Source organism: Homo sapiens, chromosome 11 (assembly GCF_000001405.40).
Source record: "Homo sapiens chromosome 11, GRCh38.p14 Primary Assembly".
Taxonomy (NCBI): Eukaryota; Metazoa; Chordata; class Mammalia; order Primates; family Hominidae; genus Homo; species Homo sapiens.
Window position 1 is genome coordinate 46,598,370 of NC_000011.10, and position 19,608 is coordinate 46,617,977.

At 45.3% G+C, this 19,608-nt stretch overlaps 2 protein-coding genes across 64 annotated transcripts in view, besides 2 other annotated features; one reads left to right on the top strand and one right to left on the bottom strand.

Annotated features, from left to right (window-relative positions):
- Positions 1 to 4,491: 4,491 nt before the first annotated feature.
- HARBI1 (harbinger transposase derived 1) lies at positions 4,492 to 19,526 on the bottom strand. 10 transcript variants are annotated; one of them, XM_011520028.4, is made up of 4 exons: positions 19,193 to 19,526; positions 17,199 to 18,012; positions 14,120 to 14,203; positions 4,492 to 5,540 (listed from the first exon to the last, which is right to left on the bottom strand). In XM_011520028.4, the coding sequence occupies exons 2-4, from the start codon at positions 17,866 to 17,868 to the stop codon at positions 5,161 to 5,163; spliced, it is 1,134 nt and encodes a 377-aa protein (XP_011518330.1). In that variant the 5' UTR covers positions 17,869 to 18,012; positions 19,193 to 19,526; the 3' UTR covers positions 4,492 to 5,160. The 10 variants fall into 10 exon arrangements, with proteins under 10 accessions (XP_011518330.1, XP_011518327.1, XP_011518331.1 ...); XM_011520025.2 differs by lacking the exon at positions 19,193 to 19,526 and adding an exon at positions 18,755 to 18,858; XM_011520029.3 differs by lacking the exon at positions 19,193 to 19,526 and adding an exon at positions 18,529 to 18,858.
- Positions 18,991 to 19,170: an enhancer, noted in NCBI's record as "active region_4683". NCBI's record gives its function as "activates an Ori minimal core promoter by ATAC-STARR-seq in GM12878 lymphoblastoid cells {active_cell/tissue: GM12878}" and the evidence as "EXISTENCE:reporter gene assay evidence [ECO:0000049][PMID:35858748]".
- Positions 19,150 to 19,444: a silencer, noted in NCBI's record as "tiled region #32; K562 Repressive non-DNase unmatched - State 1:Tss". NCBI's record gives its function as "represses a minimal TATA promoter and a strong SV40 promoter by Sharpr-MPRA in K562 cells {active_cell/tissue: K562}" and the evidence as "EXISTENCE:reporter gene assay evidence [ECO:0000049][PMID:27701403]".
- ATG13 (autophagy related 13) overlaps positions 19,184 to 19,608 on the top strand; it is a 56,966-nt gene continuing 56,541 nt past the window's right edge. For all 54 annotated transcript variants that reach the window (NR_144423.2, NR_144422.2, NR_144424.2 and 51 more), the window contains 1 exon segment: positions 19,184 to 19,521. The gene's annotated coding sequence lies outside the window, so the exon portion shown is untranslated.

The following is a 19,608-nucleotide window of genomic DNA, read 5'->3' on the forward strand; positions in this document are numbered from 1 at the left end:
ATCTAATTTCTTCTACTTTACAATCACAAGAGGCCTTCAGTTGTAGTCATTTTTTTTTCTCTTTTTTTTTTTTTGGAGTTTTGCTCTTGTTGCTGGAGTTGCAATGACAGGATCTCAGCTCACTGCAATCTCTGCCTCCCAGGTTTAAGTGATTCTCCTGCCTCAGCCTCCCTAGTAACTGGGATGACAGGCGCCCGCCACCATGCCCAGCTAATTTTTGTACTTTTAGTAGAGACGGGGTTTCACCATGTTGGCCAGGATGGTCTCGATCTCTTGACCTTGTGATCTGCCTACCTCGGCCTCCCAAAGTGCTGGGATTACAGGCGTGAGCCACTGTGCCCAGCCTGTAGTCATGTTAAAAAAAAAGTTTAGGCTGGGCACGGTACTTTATGCCTGTAATCCCTATAATCTCAGAGCGCTTCGAGAGGCCAAGGCAGGAGGATTGCTTGAGGCCAGGAATTCAAGACCAGCCTGAGCAACATAGTCAGACCCTGTCTGTACCAAAAAAAAATTAGCCAGGCATGGTAGTGTACACTTCTAGTCCTAGCTACTTGGGAGGCTGAGGTGGGAGGATCACTTGAGCCCAAGAGTTCAAGGCTGTAATAAGCTACAATCACACCACTGCACTCCAGCCTGGGTGACAGAGTGAGACCCTGTCTCTACAAAAGTTAATTTAAAAAAATTCAGGGCCGGGTGCAGTGGCTCACGCCTGTAATCCCAGCACTTTAAGAGGCCGAGGCGGACGGATCACAAGGTCAGGAGATCGAGACCATCCTGGCCAACATGGTGAAACCCTGTCTCTACTAAAAATACAAAAATAAGCTGGGCACAGTGGCACGTGCCTGTAATCCTAGCTACCCGGGAAGCTGAGGCAGGAGAATAGCTTGAACCAGGGAGGCGGAGGTTGCAGTGAGCCGAGATCGTGCCACTGCACTCCAGCCTGGGTGACAGAGTGAGACTCCATCTCAAAAAAAAAAAAAAAAAAAAAAAAAAAAATTCAGGGCCGGGCACAGGGGCATGCAATCCCAGCACTTTTAGGAGGCCAAGGCAGGCAGATCAATTGAATCCAGGATTTCGAGACCAGGTTGGGCAACTTAGCAAAACCCCATTGCTACAAAAAAAAAAAAAAAGAATTAACTGGGTATGGTGGTGTGTGCCTGTAGTCCCAGCTACTCGGAAGACTGACGTCAGAGGATCACTTGAGCCTGGAAGGTGGAGGCTGCAGTAAGCCGAGATCACTCCACTGTACTGCTCTAGCCTTGGCAACAGAGCAAGACCCTGTCTCAAAAAAAAAAAAAAAAAGGTTTTTTTTAGAACAAGGATTTCTGTGTGATTAAAAAAAAAGTCTATTAATTTTATGTGTTGGGAAACTAGCATGTCCCCAGCCTTCAGCTAGTATTTTTCCTTCCTTTCCACATAATCAACAAAGTCTTAATCCTGAATCTGTGATTTCTCATACCCACAACAATTTTGGAAAATCTTGGCAGGATCTAGAGAGCAAAATGGGCCCTGAGGACATGTGTATGCACAAAAACCCTTTCATTTCTTATTTTCTTGTCCTCCTTCTAACTTCCCCTCCACTGCCAGGGAAAGTAACTACGAAGCTCAGTCTTTGGGCTATTTTCCGTTTGTTTCAGATACAGATAAAATCTTATTATATCTATGATCTGTCTAGCCTCTTTCACCGTTACCCACTTCTTCTATGTCTTCACTACATGACTCCACTAAAATTGTGTCTTGTTTTTTATCCCTAAGTTAGATTAACTTGGTCTAGATCCTTCACAGTCCTAGGATCAGGAAAACAGCTTCATCCCTATTCAGTTAACTTAAACCAAGAATATGTTTATGGTCCCTCTTTTGTATAATCTGGAATTGGTAAATTGGTGATCACCCAATATTGTTTTCCCTTGATATATCCTGAGACCTTACTGCCTTGAAACATCTAAGGGTAAATCTGGAAAACTACTATGCTGGCCAGATGGAGTTATCTATGGGAAAATGAGGCTTACGTAAGACAGACAAAATCCTTGACTCTTTCCCAAAACCATGCCAGAAAAAAGCTATAAATCCACACTAAGGACCACAAAGGGAGCAGCTTTCTCAGACGCTTATAAAAAGCCCCTGTGAGGACACCCTTGGCAATTTGGAAGTACAGACCCTGATCCTTCCCCTCCATCATTTTGGGGAAATAACTAACCAATGACAAAAGAAAAAAAAAAATCCTGGCCTGCAAAACCACAGGTTGAAAGGAGGTTAAAGGTGTAGATCTGAAGAGTTTCCCTGTGGGATTATTAGAAAATAAAATGCTCCCAGGGAAAAACACTGTCAGCCAATGTTCAGCCAGCTCAGCACTTAGATTATCTTTGGTGTGCAAGTAAACAGACTTGAAATTGCTTTTGAAATCTCTCCAAGACTGTCCATCCCACTCAGTCTTTTATGTCACCATCTAGTGAGTTAAGTTGTGAAAAACTCCAATTTTCCTTAAATATAGTTATACAAGGCTAAAATGCAAGGCATTTTCCATGATCACACTTCACCTTGCCACTTATGATACATGTTGGGCAGTAACCCTTTCCTGATGCGATCTACCAAACAGAACCAAAACTTTATGGGGAAAATACCCATCTTAGAAGACTTAAAAAGGAAAGACCTTAAGAATTAAAACATTGCCTTATGAGGGAAACAAGTTGAACTTTACAAAGAAAAAAATGTTAACCGGGCACCTCTGTTGCACAATGAATAGAGTTAATGTTTCTAGCCAACTCTTCGTTGTCCATTCCCACCTCAATGACATCCCTGTGCATATTAAGCACAATCTTCTGCCAAATGGACCCACTCTTTATAGAGCAGGATAATGATGGTGAATAGCATTTGGAGTAGAAATAAAACAGCAGATAATAATCCATAATTGTTTTTAATCTTGAGGATGAGTCACCCTCAATTTATTTCCAAATTTCTTCTGTCATCAGCTGTTCATTTCTTTACTTTGAAAATCACCAGATTAACACTGCCAAAGGCAAGAGGTAGGAAATGATCCAAGAGGACAAGTCAGAGGTATCACATGGTGAGTGGCTGAGAAACTGGAACAAGACAACCCTCAGGAAAGTCTCTTTTTTGTCCCAGCAAAGGCACCAATGTGTGAACCTAATTCACACTTTCATTATTCTAATCAGGTTATTTTTATATCAGTGTAATTTTAGAACAAGACTTGCTAGGGGATTATTTATTTCTTAGGAAATTCTGTCCATCACTCTGCATATCCAAGGTCTAGCACCAGAATTCATTTCAAGCCAAGAAATTATATTCCTATTACCTCTCCTTTGTAATACTTTCACATGCCTTCTTTATTCCCTGAATCTTCCTTTTGTACAACGAATTTCAAAACAGAATGACCAGACTTTCTAACATCACAATTATAAGAAATGTGATCTAGTTGAATGTGAGGTGTCTGAACCTGGGTGAATCTGCATTGCTCATCAATCTCTCTCAGTCCTTAGAACGCCTGTAAAGCATAAGCTTGCTATTTTATCTATATTCGAATTGCCTTTTTTAAGCTGATTGGGTTCTCAAACCCATTTAGCCTCTAACTCCGAGTCAGGGTTGGAAATAGGAAACTGGAGTCCAGATGTTCTCCCTAGGATCTAGGTCCAAGTCACAGTCCAATTATTGCAGACAGGCTAAAGATGGAGGTTTCTGACTGTCTTTAACATCCTCTTAAAAGCACAAAGCTGCAAACTGAGATTAGTAGCCATTTACTAATGTCAGAAGATCATTCCCCAACTGAAATTCTCTCTTCACATTTGCCTCAGATTATGCCTATATAGGCAGCAAAGTAGAAAAACTAAAATACCACCCAAATAATCCAGAACAAGTAAATATTGTTTTCTTTCTTTTTTTTTTTTGAGACAGAGTCTCGCTCGGTTGCCCAGGCTGGAGTGCGATGGCACAATCTCGGCTCGCTGCAACCTCTGCTTCCTGTGTTCAAGTGATTCTCCTGCCTCAGCCTCCTGAGTAGCTGGGATTACAGGCGCGTGCCACCACGCCCGGATAATTTTTGTATTTTTTAGTAGAGACGGGGTTTCACCATGTTGCTCAGGCTTGGTCAGGCTGGTGTCGAACTCCCGACCTCAGGTGATCTGCCCACCTCGGCCTCCCAACGTGCTGGGATTATGGGATTATAGGCGTAAGCCACCACACCCGGCCTATGTAAATACTGTTTTCATCTGAAATCTGCAGATAATTGAAACCAAAAAAGTGTTTTGACTATATGCTGTTTTCCCCTTTACTATGAGTTTTTTTTTTGTTTGTTTGTTTGTTTTTTTGGAGAAAGCCTTGCTCTGTCACTCAGGCTGGAGTGCAGTGGCATGATCTTGGCTCAGTGCAACCTCCGACTCCCAGGTTCAAGCGATTCTCCTGCCTCAGCATCCCGAGTAGCTGGGATTTCAGGCATGTACCACCACGCCCGGCTAATTTTTTTTTTTTTTTTTTTTTGAGACGGAGTTTCGCTCTTCTTGCCTAGGCTGGAGTGCAATGGCACGATCTCGGCTCACCACAACCTCCGCCTCCCTGGTTCAAGTGATTCTCCTGCCTCAGCCTACCGAGTAGCTGGGATTACAGGCACCTGTCACCACGCCCAGCTAATTTTTTTGTATTTTTAGTAGAGACAGGGTCTTGCCATGTTGCCCAGGCTGGTCTTAACTCCTGAACTCAGGTGATCCGCCCGCCTCGGCCTCCCAAAGTGCTGGGATTACAGGCGTGAGCCACCGCACCCGGCCGCTAATTTTTGTATTTTTAGTAGAGACGGGGTTTCACCATGTTGGCCAGGCTGGTCTTGTCTTGAACTCCTGACCTTTACTATGACTTTGTAGGCACAGTCATAAATGTTTGCAACCACTGAGCTTTCAAATTAGTGGTACTCAACCTAGAGTTCACTGGATAGTAGGGAGCCGCTGTCTTGGTTTCAGTTTAATTAATGCATATGCAAATGAATCAAGATATTCTGGCATAGCCCCAACCTTACCAAAACACACATATTAAATGTCAGTTTATGACAAGTATCTGTATACTCAGTCATGCTAGATGATGGAACTGTGTAAAAGGTGATGAGGAGGAAAGTCTGTCACAACTCCTGGGAAGTATCCCTCCTCTCCACCTTCTACATTAGCTAAAATGAGTGAGCATTAGCTCCTGACGAATACGGTCAGCCTCTAAGTCCAGGGACTCCATGTGCTCATACTCCTCTTCCGGGGGCTGTTCCATGGGTCCTGTCATTGGAGAGGACCAAACATCCATCCCATGCTCCAGGGAGATGTTGTGGAGGACACAACAGGCCAAGATGATATGGCTGGATTTCTCTGGTGAGTACTGCAGTGCCCCCTTGGATCCATCCAGGCAGCGGAATCGGGAGCAGAGGGTTCGGAAAGTCTTCTCAATCACACTGTGAGTTGCAGAATGGGCCATGTTATAGCGATATTCTGCTGGAGTTTCAGGAATGTGAAGTGGGGTCATGAGCCAGGTTCGAAGAAAGAAGGAACTGTCACCTGTGGGGAAGGCCCAAATAAATCATAAATGACTATAAGTGGAATAGAAACAGGAAGTGAAATTCAGAAAACATATACTGACAATGGACAAGAAAATACAACAGCCTCTGGCGCCAAAGCACACTAGAAAAACCAAGCGGAAAATGCTATGGTAAAAAGAAATCATGCCAATGCCAGGAGCAGAAAGACACGAGTTCTGGCTGAGAATGTCGTTGGTAAAAATCGACACATAAAAACGCTGGCACCTAAAGGAAGCCAAATATGAAAGAATGTAGGAAGGAGGTGAAGGCACTGGAGGAAATAAAATTCCTGCATTTGGCCGGGCATGGTGACTCACGCCTGTAATGACAGCACTTTGGGAGGCTGAGGCGGGTGGATCACCAACTGAGGCCCGGAGTTCAAGACCAGCCTGACCAACGTGGGAGGCGGAGATTGCAGTGAGCCAAGATCACGCCATTGCACTCCAACCTGGGCGACAAGCGCGAAACTCCATCTCAAATAAAATAAAATTCCTGCATTTTCCTAATTCAGAGATATTGTTATTAATAAAAGGCTTAATAAAACCAAATAAAATCAAATAGCATGCCAATCTTCAAAATCTCTACAGAGCAAGAATGAAACAGGAAAAAAGAGAATTCTGCCAAGAGATCCCAAAACACTTGTGAGGGGAAGTCTTAACTTTACCCTCAAAATTTCAAGTCTAAAAGCACTACCAAGGGATTTCAGGGGATTTCATGGACTACAGTAATTTATTCTCCCAGTGCTAAGAAGAATAAGATAAAAGTCCGAGCACTTATGGCAGAGATCAGAACTCAGGTGTTCTGCCTTCCTATATATCACAATTACTAGAACCATGCCTTTGTAAGAGGAAGAATTTCACATGAACAAAGAGAGCATACATATAATCATGCAAATAGTAATAGTTGGTGATAAGGAAATGAATTCAGAAGTCAATTAAAAAAATACACACAAGGCATTCTCCTTAAGTGACTTCTTTATCAAATGATCCCAGGAAGTGCTAACAAAACAACAACAACAAAAAACTGGGGTGCAATGCCCTGATCCAACAGCACAATGTTAGTATAATGCTTTCTTGTCCTGACTCACTGTCACTACATCTGGCAGATGAGATGTCCCGCACAGAGGCAAAACCTCTTAGAAATTTGAGAGACAAATAGGCCCTGGAGTACCAGTTTGCATACCACTGTGTTCCTGCCCCACCATCAATTTCAGTAAATAGTTCTGGACTGTTCAGACAGTGGTAGGCACTGTTCCCAACATACAGGGCTCATTTCTTTTAGGCGCTTACATTTATTTTTTTGGAGACAGAGTTTTGCTCTGTCACCCAGGCTGGAATGCAGTGGAGTGATAACAGTTCGCTGCAGCCTCAACCTTCCAGCCTCCTACCTCAGCCTCCCGAATATCTGGGACCACAGGCATGCGCCACCATGCCTGGCAAAATTTTTAATGTTTTCTAGAGAGGAGGTTTCACTATGTTACCCAGGCTGGTCTCTTAAGTCCCGTGCCCAAACAATCCACCCACCTCGACCTCCCAAAGCCCTGGAATTACAGCGCCGAGCAGGAGCTTACATTTCTGGATTAACTGTAAATATCTAAGAAGTCTCACAAAATTTTCAAATTTACTATTTAGCTGACTTTTCCCCTCCCAGGTATAACCTTTTTTTTTTTTTTTTTTTTTTTGACAGTCTGCTCTGTTGCCCAGGCTGGAGTGCAGTGGTGCAATCTCAGCTCACTGCAACCTCCACCTCCCAGGTTTAAGCAATTCTCCTGTCTCAGCCTCCTGAGTAGCTGGGACTACAGGCACACGCCACCACGCCCGGCTAATTTTTTGTGTTTTTAGTAGAGACGGGGTTTCACCATGTTGGCCAGGCTGGTCACGATCTCCTGACTTCATGATCCACCCACCTCGGCCTCCCAAAGGGCTGGGATTCCAGGCATGAGCCACCGCACCCAGTTTTTTGTTTGTTTGTTTGTTTTTTTGAGAGTCTCACTCTGCCCAGGCTGAAGTGCAGTAGCATGATCTCGGCTCACTGCAACCTCCGCCTCACAGTTTCAAGCAATTCTCCTGCCTCACCTTACCAAGTAGCTGGGATTACAGGCACCTGCCACCACGCCCAGCTAATTTTTGTATTTTTAGTAGAGATGGGGTTTCACCATGCTGGCCAGGCTGGTCTCAAACTCCTGACCTCATGCGATCCACCCCCTTCGGCTTCCCAAAGTGCTGGGATTACAGGCGTGAGACACCACGCCCGGCCATAACCTTTTCTTTTTATTGAACATAACCCTACTAAATAATGAATTTAAGAAACTGATGCTATAAATAATAATGAAAAATAATATCCATGACTCATTGAACACCTACTATGTAGCATGTACTGTGCTGGTACTTTTTTTTTTTTTGAGACGGAGCCTCACTCTGTCGCCCAGGCTGGAGTGCAGTGGTGCAATCTCGGCTCACTGCAACCTCTGCCTCCCGGGTTGAAGCTATTCTCCTACCTCAGTCTCCTGAGTAGCTGGGACTACAGGCATGTACCACCATGACTGGCTAATTTTGGTATTTTTAGTAGAGATGGGGATTTCACCATGTTGGCCAGGCTGGTCTCAAACTCCCAACCTCAGATGATCCGCTCCCTTTGGCCTCCCAAAGTGCTGGGATTACAATCGTGAGCCACCATGCCTGGCCTAACTTTATTTTCAATATTTATTTACTTTACTTTAGTTTTGTTTTTTGAGACAGAGTCTCACTCTGTTGCCCACGCTGAAGTGCAGTGGTATGATCATAGCTCACTGCAACCTCAAACTCCTGAGCTCAAGCAATCCTCCCAACACACCCTCCTGAGTAGCTGGGATTACAGGCACATGCCACAACACCCAGCTAATTTTTAAACTTTTTGTAGAGACAGGGTCTTGTTATGTTGCTAGGCTGACCCTGAACTCCTGGCCTCAAGCATTCCTCCCGCTTCAGGAGGAACTCCCACCTGCTTCACCTCCCAAGGTGCTGACATTACAGGTGTGACCACCACACCCAGCTGGTACTTTTTAAAGATTATCAGGCTGGGCACGGTGGCTCACACCTGTAATCCCAGCACTTTGAGAGGCTAAGGCAGGCGGATCACCTGAGGTCAGGAGTTTGAGACCAGTCTGGTCAACACAGCAAAACCCCATCTCTACTAAAAATACAAAAATTAGCCAGGCATGGTGGTGCGTGCCTGTAGCCCCAGCTACAGGAGGCTGAGGTAGAAAACTGTTTGAACCTGGGAGGTAGAGGATGCAGTGAGCCGAGATCACGCCACTGCACTCCAGCCAAGGCGACAGGGTGAGACTGTCTCAAAAAAAAAAAAAAAAAAAAGATTATCTCTTATTATGCAATCCCAACTCTGCTAGGTTAGATATTGAACTTATTTTTCAAATGAGAAGATCAAAGTATATGTTCGTCATCCTTTGATATGTTAGGCAAAGGAAAGACCTAGTCACTAAATGCTAATTTCAGACTCAGAATACTAAAACAAGAGCATAATAAAACAAGAATATAATGCTGTAAAAGAGAATAAAATAAGTAAGATGAATACTGAAAACTGGAGATGCTAAATGATCCTTGTTAAAGTTTCTCTAAGAAATGGTATGAGTCTTAAATGGAGGAGATATACAGGAAAAGCTAAAGGAGACCTTTTGTAAAATTGCTCTACCCTCACTAAATGGTTATAAACCAAGCACTACTGGAAAACAGACACTCAAGAGGGGATTAGGATCAGAATTGCTAAACAGATTACAATTGCTTATATGATCAGTCATCCACAAGACATTTTGGCAGATCTTACCCAAAGCTGCTTAATAGGACTAGGCCAAGAGCTAAAGAAATAAGAACTGAGGCTGAATTGTTTGCAGGAATAGGTATATTTAGAGGGGAATTTAGATAATGCATTCTGAAGGGACAGATGAGAATGAGGACAGGAATGGATAATATCGTAGGAAAAATAATGCAAAAAAAAAAAAAAAAAAGGCCAGAGGCTCACAGCTAGTTCTAGGTTTGACAAATCTAGAACTGTTCCTCAAACCTAAGGGTTGTTTCTTAAAATACAATTAGGCGGCCAGGTGCAGGGCTTCATGCCTGTAATCCCAGCACTTTGGGAGGCCACAGTGGGTGGATCACCTGAGGTTGGGAGTTTGAGACCAGCCTGACCAACGTGGTGAAGCCCCGTCTCTACTAAAATACAAAAATTAGCTGGGCATGGTGGCAGGCACCTGTAATTTCAGCTACTCAGGAGGCTGAGGCAGGAGAATTGCTTGAACCCAGGAGGCACAGGTTGCAGTGAGCTGAGATCGCCCCATTGCACCACAGCCTGGGCAACAAGAGCGAAACTCCATCTCAAACAACAACAACAACAACAACAACAAAAATACAATTAGCCATCTATTCTCTCTTTTAACATCTTGTCATTCCTTATAATCCTGCCAATCTTCCCATAATTACTCCCACTGTCCACACAACCTTTAGAGACTAGTGTTTTCCAAATCTGTCTATTCATATGAATGATTTAGGGTATCTCTCTGTTGCCCAGACTGGAGTGCAATAGCACGATCGTAGCTCACTGCAGCCTTGAACTCCTAGGCTCAAGTGATCCTCCCAGGTCAGCCTCCTGAGTAAGCTGGGACTACAGGCACACGCCACCATGCCTGGCAATTAAAAAAAAAATTTTTTTTTTTTTTTGGAGATACAGTCTCCAGCCCAGTCTGGAGTACAGTCACAGAATCTTGGTTCACTACAACCTCCGCCTCCTGGGTTCAAGCAATTCTCCTGCCTCAGCCACTCGAGTAGCTGGGATTACAGGCATGCGCCACCAGGCCCGGCTAATTTTGTATTTTTAGTAGAGACAGGGTTTCACCATGTTGGCCAGGCTAATCTTGAACTCCTGACCTCAGGTGATCTGCCTGCCTCGGCCTCCCAAAGTGCTGGGATTACAGGCTTGAGCCACCGCACCTGACAAATTTTTTTTTTCTTTTTTTTTTTTTGAGGCAAAGTCTCGCTCTTGTCCCCCAGGCTAGAGTGCAATGGCGTGATCTCAGCTCACTGCAACCTCCGCCTCCCAGGTTCAAGCGATTCTCCTGCCTCAGCCTCCCGAGTAGCTGGGATTACAGGCGCCTGCCACCACACCTGGCTAATTTTTATATTTTTAGAAGAGATGGGATTTCACCATCTTGGCCAGGCTGGTCTCAAACTTCTGACCTCAGGTGATGTGCCCGCCTTGGCCTCCAAAAGTGCTGGGATTTAGCACCTGGCTAAAATTAGCACCAGGCTAATTTTTGTATTTTTAGTAGAGATGGGGTTTCACCATCTTGGCCAGGCTTGTCTTGAACCTCTGACCTCGTTATCCACCTGCCTTGGCCTCCCAAAGTGCTGGGATCACAGGCGTGAGCCACTTTTCTTTTTTTTTTTAAGATGGAGTCTCACTCTGTCATCCAGGTTGGAATGCAGTGGCAGGATCTCCGCCCACTGCAACCTCCACCTACCAGGATCAAGCAATTCTCCTGCATCAGCCTCCTGAGTAGCTGGAATCACAGGCTCACGCCACCGTGCCTGGGTAATTTTTGTATATTTAGTAGAGACAGGGTTTCAGCATGTTGACCAGCTGGTCTGGAAGTCCTGACCTCAAGTGATCCACAGACGTGAGCCACCACGCCCGGCCTGAGGAAATCAGTTTCCACATCTTCAACTTCCACAGGTATATTCCAAGATTTCTTCATGCCTCACACCAAAACTAGCTTTAATAAACACTTGCTGACCAGGCACAGTGGCTCATACCTGTAATCCCAGCACTTTGGGAGGCTGAGGTGGACTGGCTGAGCTCAGGAGTTTGAGACCTGCCTGGGCAACACAGTGAGACCCAGACTCTACAAAAAAAAAAATAAATAAATAAAAGAATTTTTTTTTTTTTTTTTTTTGAGAGTAAGTCTCACTCTGTTGCCCAGGCTAGAGTGCAATGGTGCAATCTCGGCTCACTGCAACCTCCACCTCCCAGGTTCAAGTGATTCTCCTGCCTCAGCCTCCTGAATAGCTAGGACTACAAGTGCCCACCACCATGCCTGGGTAATTTTTGTATTTTTTGTAGAGATGAGGTTTCACCATGTTGGCCAGGCTGGTCTCAAACTCCTGACCTCAGGTGATCCACCCGCTTTGGCCTCCCAAAGTGCTGGGATTACAGGCATGAGTCACAGCGCCCAGCCAAAAAATTTAAAACAAAATTAGCCAGGCATGATGGCAGGCACCTATGGTCCCAACTACTCGGTAGACTGATGTGGGAGGATCAATTGAGCCCAGGAGGTCAAGGCTTCAATAAGTTGTGATCATGCCAGTGCACTCCAGCGTGGGTGACAGAGTGAGACCCTGTTTCAAAAATACATGTGTGTGTATGTATATAATATATATATATATATATAAAATAATAAAAAGGCCAGGCGCGGTGGGCTCACGCCTGTAATCCCAGCACTTTGGGAGGCCAAGGCGGGCGGATCAAGAGGTCAGGAGATGGAGGCCATCCTGGCTAACACAGTGAAACCCCATCTCTACTAAAAATACAAAAAATTAGCTGGGCGTGGTGGCGGGCGCCTATAGTCCCAGCTACTCCGGAGGCTGAGGCAGGAGAGTGCTGTGAACCCGGGAGGCGGAGCTTGCAGTGAGCCGAGATCGCACCACTGCACTCCAGCTGGGCGACAGAGCGAGACTCCGTCTCAAAAAATAAATAAATAAATAAACATTCGTTAAATGTTGCTACAGTATCCATTTTTCCCACTCCTACTCTTTCTGTAGAGAGGGGCATCAGAAAAGTTATTTATCAGAATTTTTACTAATTTTCAACTATTTACTATAAACAATGTAAAAAACTACTTTAAAGCCATAATTCCAACTGAATCTTGGATCCCAAGGTGGGAAGAAAAAGAAGTCCTTACCAGGAATATTTGCCAAATAAAGTAATTCGTCCTATGATCTGATTTAAACACTGAAACACAAGCGACTTAAATGTTATGTGCCTCAGTCTCCTCTTTTGTAAAAATGTTAATATTATTATTATTTAACTCTTTTTTTTTTTTTTTTTTTTTGAGACAGAGTCTTGCTCTGTCTCCCAGGCTGGAGTGCAGTGGCGTGATCTCGGCTCACTGCAAACTCCACCTCCCGGGTTCACGCCATTCTCCTGCCTCAGCCTCCGGAGTAGCTGGGACTACAGGCGCCTGCCACCACGCCTGGCTTATGTTTTGTATTTTTAGTAGAGATGAGGTTTCACTGTGTTAGCCAGGATGGTCTGGATCTCCTGACCTCGTGATCCGCCCACCTCGGCCTCCCAAAGTGCTGGGATTACAGGCGTGAGCCACCGTGCCCGGCTATTATTTAACTCTTAAAGAGTTTTTATAAGCATTAAGTGATATAATTGATGCAAAATGCTTACAATATTGCCTGTCAAATTTTAAGGGCTAAGTTTTAGCTGGCTTAATAGTTAGGGAACCGGGCAGGGTGCAGTAGCTCATGCCTGTAATTCCAGCAATTTGGGAGTACAAGGTGGGCTAACTGCTTGAGCCTAGGGGTTCGAGACCAGCCTGGGCAGCATGACAAAACGCCAGCTTTACCAAAAATACAAAAATTAGCCCAGCATGGTGGTGTGCATCTGTAGTCCCAGCTACTCGGTAGGCTGAGGTAGGAGGATCAATTGAGCCCAGGAGGTCAAGGCTGCAGTGAGTCATAATCACACCACTGCACTCCAGCCTGGGTGACAGAGTGAGACCCCGTGACAAAAAAAAAAAAAAGGTGGGGGGAACCAAAGTGAAGAGATTCATAAGAAATCAGCTTGGAACCCAAGTACTCCCACAGCTACAGAAGAAATGGCCAGATGAAACAATTGCAAAATCTACTTTCCCACACTTCTTGGTGTGAGTTGTATGAAAATAAAATTTGAAAGCTCAAAATAGGCAAAAGGTGTGTTTAAGATAAAGGTCCAGTAGAGTAGCAAGAAGGTGGTGCACTAAAAATAGTACGGAGAAGCAACAATCAAGAAACTCAGTAAGCTCCAGGATATTACACGTGGTACCCTGGCAGCTCTACACCCATCAGTGTAGTCTTTGCCCACTTGGAACACAGGAGGTTTCTCTTTAAAGTGCTAGTAAACATGTTAAAGAGAAGTATTTCCTGAGCATCAACTCACAACAAGCACTGTGCAATGAGCATGTGCAGTGCAGATATGATTAGTGGTAGTGATTAGCTGGGTGTGGTGGTGTATGTCTGTGATACCAGCTACTGGTATTATGAGCCTGGGCTGAGGCCAGAGGATTGCTTGAGACCAGCCTGGGCAACATAACAAGACCCAATCTCAAAAAAACAAAAGTTAGAGAAGTCTTCTAATCCTTAACGTAGCTTTCATCTCTTATATGTTGTATACAAGATAACCCTTGTCCTGATGCTCATATAAAAGTAGCACATTAAAAAAAAAACAAACCCAAAAAACAAAAAACTAAGCTGCTGGATTCAAGGGTTTTATCACTGCTAACTGCACTCCTCAGAGCTGTACAGTCACCTTGGTTCACACTGCTGAATGTTGAATAGATTCTTGTTCTACTCATAACAGTAAGCCAGTCTTTCCAATGGAACTCGGGCAGATCTGTGAAGTGAGTTGCTACAATAAGAATTGTGTACATGCATTGTCTACTATCATTTTTATGCAGATATCACAGTGACAATCAACAATGCAAAAATAATTTTTTTTTTTTTTTTTTGAGACAGAGTTTCGTTCTTGTTGCCCAGGCTGGAGTGCAATGGTGCGATCTCGACTCACTGCAACCTCTGCCTCCCGGGTTCAAGCAATTCGCCTGCCTCAGCCTCCCAAGTAGCTGAGATTATAGGTGCCTGCCACCACGCCCAGCTAATTTTTTGTATTTTTAGTAGATAAGGGGTTTCACCACGTTGGCCAGGCTGGTCTTGAACTCCTGACATCAGGTGATCCGCTTGCCTTGGCCTCCAAAAGTGCTGGGATTATAGGCATGAGCCACCACACCCGGATTTTTTTTTTTTTTTTTTTTTTTTTTTGAGATGGAGTCTTGCTCCATCGCCCAGGCTGGAGTGCAGTAGTGTGATCTCAGCTCACTGCAACCTCTGCCTCCCAGGCTCAAGCAATTCTCCTGCCTCAGCTTCCCAAGTAGATGGGACTACAGGCATGCGCCACCATGTCCAGCTAAATTTTGTGTTTTTAGTAGAGAAGGGGTTTGACCATGTCGGCCAGGCTGGTTTTGAACTCCAACTCTTGACCTCAGGTGATCCACCGCCTTGGTCTCCTGAAGTGCTGAGATTATAGGCGTGAGCCACCACAACTGGCCACATTTGAATATCTATACAATACTTCATAGGTAACTTTCATATATATTACCTAATCCCCACAATAGATATTACTGTGGTTGGTGTCAGATTAATCATTTTACAGATGATTAGCAGAGCCAGATAAAAATTAAGGCTCAATTGTATGGATGTACAATACTTAAACAATTCTGGACAGTCCTGATAAGTATGTTGGCTTTTTTTTTTTTTTTTTTTTTGAGACAGAGTCTCCCTCTGTTGCCCAGGCTGGAGTGCAGTGGCACGATCTTGGCTCACTGCAACCTCCACCTCCCAGGTTCAATCGATTCTCCTACCTCAGCCTCCCAAGTAGCTGGGATTATAGGCGCGCACCACCATGCCCTGATAATTTTTGTATTTTCAGTAGAGGCGGGGTTTCACTATGTTGGACAGGCTGGTCTTGAACGCCTGACCTCAGGTGATACACCCTCCATGGCCTCACACAGTGCTGGGATTACAGTCGTGAGCTACCGCACCCAGCAGTATTTTGGCTTTATTTCAGGGGATTGTTTCATTTATTTGTTTGCTTATTTATATTATTATTACTTTTCTGAGAGACATTGTCTCGCTTTGTTGCCCAGGCTAATCTCGAGCTCCTGGATTCAAGTGACCCTCTCACCTTGACTTCCCAAAGTGCTGGGATTACGGGCAGGAGCCACCGCACCCAGACAGGATTGTTTTTATAAGGTTGTTTTTGTTGCTGCAGCTATTGTTTGCAATAAAAATTCTTGTATGCAATTTTGTTTTGCATATGTATAAATATATACCTGTAAGATAAATTCTTAGGAGTAGAAGAGCTGGGTGAAATAACATAAAATACATTTATTAATATATATATATATATAGGCTGGGCATGGTGGCTCACGCCTGTAATCCCAGCACTTTGGGAGGCTGAGATGGGCAGATCAACTGAGGTTGGGAGTTCGAGAGCAGCCTGACCAACATGGTGAAACCCCGTCTCTACTAAAAATACAAAATTAGCTGGGCATAGTGGCGCATGCCTATAATCCCAGCTACTCAGGAGGCTGAGGCAGAATTGCTTGAACCTGGGAGGCGGAGGTTGCAGTGAGCCAAGATCGCACCATTGCACTCCAGCCTGGGCAAAAAGAGCAAAACTCTGTCTCAATAATAATAATAATAATAATTTTTTTTTACGTTGGTGTGGTGGCTTACAGCCATATTCCCAGAGCTTTGGGAGGCTCAGATGGGAGGATAGCTTGAGGCCAGGAGCTCAAGACTAGTCTGGTCAACATAGTGAGACTCTGCCTCTACACAAAATAAAAAAAATAAAAATAAAATAAGAAAAAAAAGTTTAATTGTTTTGGAGACAGGGTCTTGCTATCTTGCTCAGGCTGGTCTCAAGGTCCAGGCTCAAGTGATCCTCTTGCCTTAGCCTCCCAGATAGTTGGAATTACAATTACCAGTTGTACTAGTACGTGCCACTGTGCTGGCTCTAACAGTATGCTTTAAAGTTTTAATAATGTCTATTAAATGTTGATTTTTTAAAAATTAAGGCTAAGAAAATTCTCACCTGAGGTCTCATAAAAAACTGACAGGACTGAGACTCAGCTCTACAGACTGCCATATCTCATTCTACTCCACTACATAATTTTTCTTTTTCTTTTTTTTGAGATGGAGTTTTGCTCTTGTTGCCCAGGCTAGAGTGCACTGGCGCGATCTTGGCTAACCGCAACCTCCGCCTCCCGGGTTCAAGCGATTCTCCTGCCTCAGCCTCCCGAGTAGCTGGGATTGCAGGCATGCGCTACTACGCCCGGCTAATTTTGTATTTTTAGTATAGACGGGGTTTCTCCATGTTGGTCAGGCTGGTCTTAAACTCCCAACCTCAGGTGATCTGCCTGCCTCGGCCTCCCAAAGTGCTAGGATAACAGGCATGAGCTACACGTGCGGTCCCTTTTCTTTCTTTCTTTTTTTTTTTTTGAGATGGAGTTTTTGCTCTGTTGCCCAGGTGGGGGTGCAATGGCGCCATCTCGGCTCACTGCAACCTCTGCCTTCTGGGTTCAAGCGATTGTCCTGCCTCAGCCTCCCGAGTAGCTGGAACTACAGGCGCCTGCCACCATGCCCAATTTTTGTATTTTTAGTAGAGACAAGATTTCACCATGTTGGCCAGGCTGGTCTCCAGCTCTTGACCTCAGGTGATCTACCGCCTCAGCCTCCCAAAGTGCTGGGGTTGTGTGAGCCACCGCCCCCAGCCTACATAACTTTTCTATGCCTCCAAACAAAATGAAAATTCACACTTGCAAACTTACCCAGAAGCCAGCTATCTTTGTGCATACCCGCTTCAAACTGACTACTGAGGGAAGACTGCTGCAGCACAGCACAGTCCTGTAGGCTGCCGGGCCAGTTTGTCTCCACGGTCATTAGTGTCCCTCTAATGTCACACACCATCAGGCAGTTTAAAGAATGCAGGCCTTTTCGGTTCACATAGGAGAGGTCTTCAGCATTTGGTGCCTTGATGGCCACATGGATACAGTCAACCACCCCCATCACCCCTGGCATCCCTGCCAACCCATAGAATTCATCCTTCAGAGCCTGAATGGAGGCTTCATCAGCTGGAAAGCGAATGAACTGTGAGGCCCTTTCCACAAGTGCTTCAGTGACATTGGCAACACAACGACTCATAGACGCCTGACTGATTCCAATGGCATCTCCCATCCGAGTCTGGAAGGAACCTGAGGTATAAAAACCCAATGCTGCAAGGACCTGTGTCTCTGGGCTAATAGCCCTGGATCGCTGAGTAGGCCTAGAAAGATTCGCCCCCAAGAGCTCCACCAAGTAATAAATGAACTGCCGTGGAAACCCATACATGGACATCAAGTATTCATCAGTCACATCATCCAGCTTAAAACGGTCCAATGTCCGGTGACCACGGCCATATAGCAAGAGGTCACAGTCAAGCACTGTTATTGGTATAGCCATGGTAAATGTGAATGTTGGCTCTCCTCTTTGCTTTTTCTGAACTGTTCCCAATGAAGATGTTGGTGCAAGAACGTATTTTTAAGAAAGTATCAGAATCCAACAGCTAACCACAGTTAAATGGCTCTGCCATTTATAATCTTCTCTCTGTAAATGTTAAAAGAAAAAACATTAGGAACCTACCAAAGACTTTAAAGTGACTCAAAGGCTGGAGCAGCTCCTTTTCTACAAATTTCCATTTTGTTGAGGCAAAACGTACTGTACTTACAACTCCGGATTTTTCTCCACTAACTCATGGCTGCACGACAGGCTTGCTCTGATTCAAGGATAATGGGAATTCAATCTTTGTGGCTCATTTAATGCTTGGCATTTCAATTGAGAACACCAAAAGAATAATGGAGGTGATGACATAATTATTCACAAGGTAAAAGAGGTCGGCTTCTAACTATATAGGCCAAGAAGCAGCTGACATATGTCATAACCACCTTGGGTAAGAATTGGTCACGGGTTTCATTATCCAAAGACTTCTGGTTTCACCTGACAAATACAGGACAGATGCTGGGGTGTTCAAACCAGTCTAACAAGAAAAGAAGGGGCAAAAAAAAAAAAAAAAAAAAAAAAAAAAAAACAACCAAAGTCCACAACCCAGCCTTATGGACGTACACTGTGTGCTGTAACAAAAGGCTTTTCCCTCACTCCAAGAACTCCAAATCGTGAACCTGAGGGCCAGGAAGTACGGAAGACCAGACACATTGGAAGTCGGGAGCGAAAAAGAGGCTGGCCGAACCAGGTTTGGGAAGCGACTCTGCCACTTTTAAAGGGCACCCTAAAAACGGATGTCAAAGTCTGATTGCGCCGGCCACTCAGTTAGCCCAGGCCCGTCACCCACCTCTCCGCGGCTGCCAGGTTACCAGCCACACTTCCCACCCACCCAGCCGGGTTGGGCCCTCCTCCGGAACCGGCGACTGCACAGAGGCCGCCACGGCGCGCAACAGCGGCACCGCCCCTTCCGCGTCAGCGCCCGCCCCGCGCCGCGCCCTCACTGCCGCTGCCGCGGCTACCTGCGGTTCATCTCCGCACATTCCACACGCGGCCCAAACGGTCTCTCTCTCTCTCTCTCAAACACCGCCTTTCCGTCTTTGTTTTATCTTGAGTAGCTTAGAAAGATTGGAGAAGAAAGCTTACGTGGAATGAAAATCAACTTTTATGGATATTTTGAGGACTAAAAGAATAAATAGGGCGTCCGTACTGTAGCGAAAGTGCGACTAAGGTTAGGCATCTGGATTTCCCCCGTAGCCCTCTTTCACCCCCCCCCCCCGGCCATTACCGAAGCGGATGAAAACAAACACTAACGATGGCGGCGCCGGGAAGCGACCGGCTGCTGGGCTTAAGGCGGGAGTGACCGCTTAACCAGTGAGGGAAGCACTGAAGAGCGCCAGTCGACGTGGGTGCGACAACTCGCGGAGTCTTAGGAGCAAAACGTCTGGGGCCTGCGAGCCAGGACCCTTCTGAAGCCTTAGGTGTCTATCGGCGACGTGTACGGTCACTGCAGCTCCGGAGCGCGGAACCCTCAGCCAGGAGGCGCGGCTGGTCGGTCCCAGGTCCCGGCCTCCGTAATGAGAGCCCGGAACCACTCTTTGTGCCGCAGCTTCGCAGGTACTAACTTTTGCGGGGGATACCCCAAGATCTCTCAGCGCCCCCGGGTGGGAGGCTGTGGATCTGCGGCCCCTTGGCTGCTGCTTC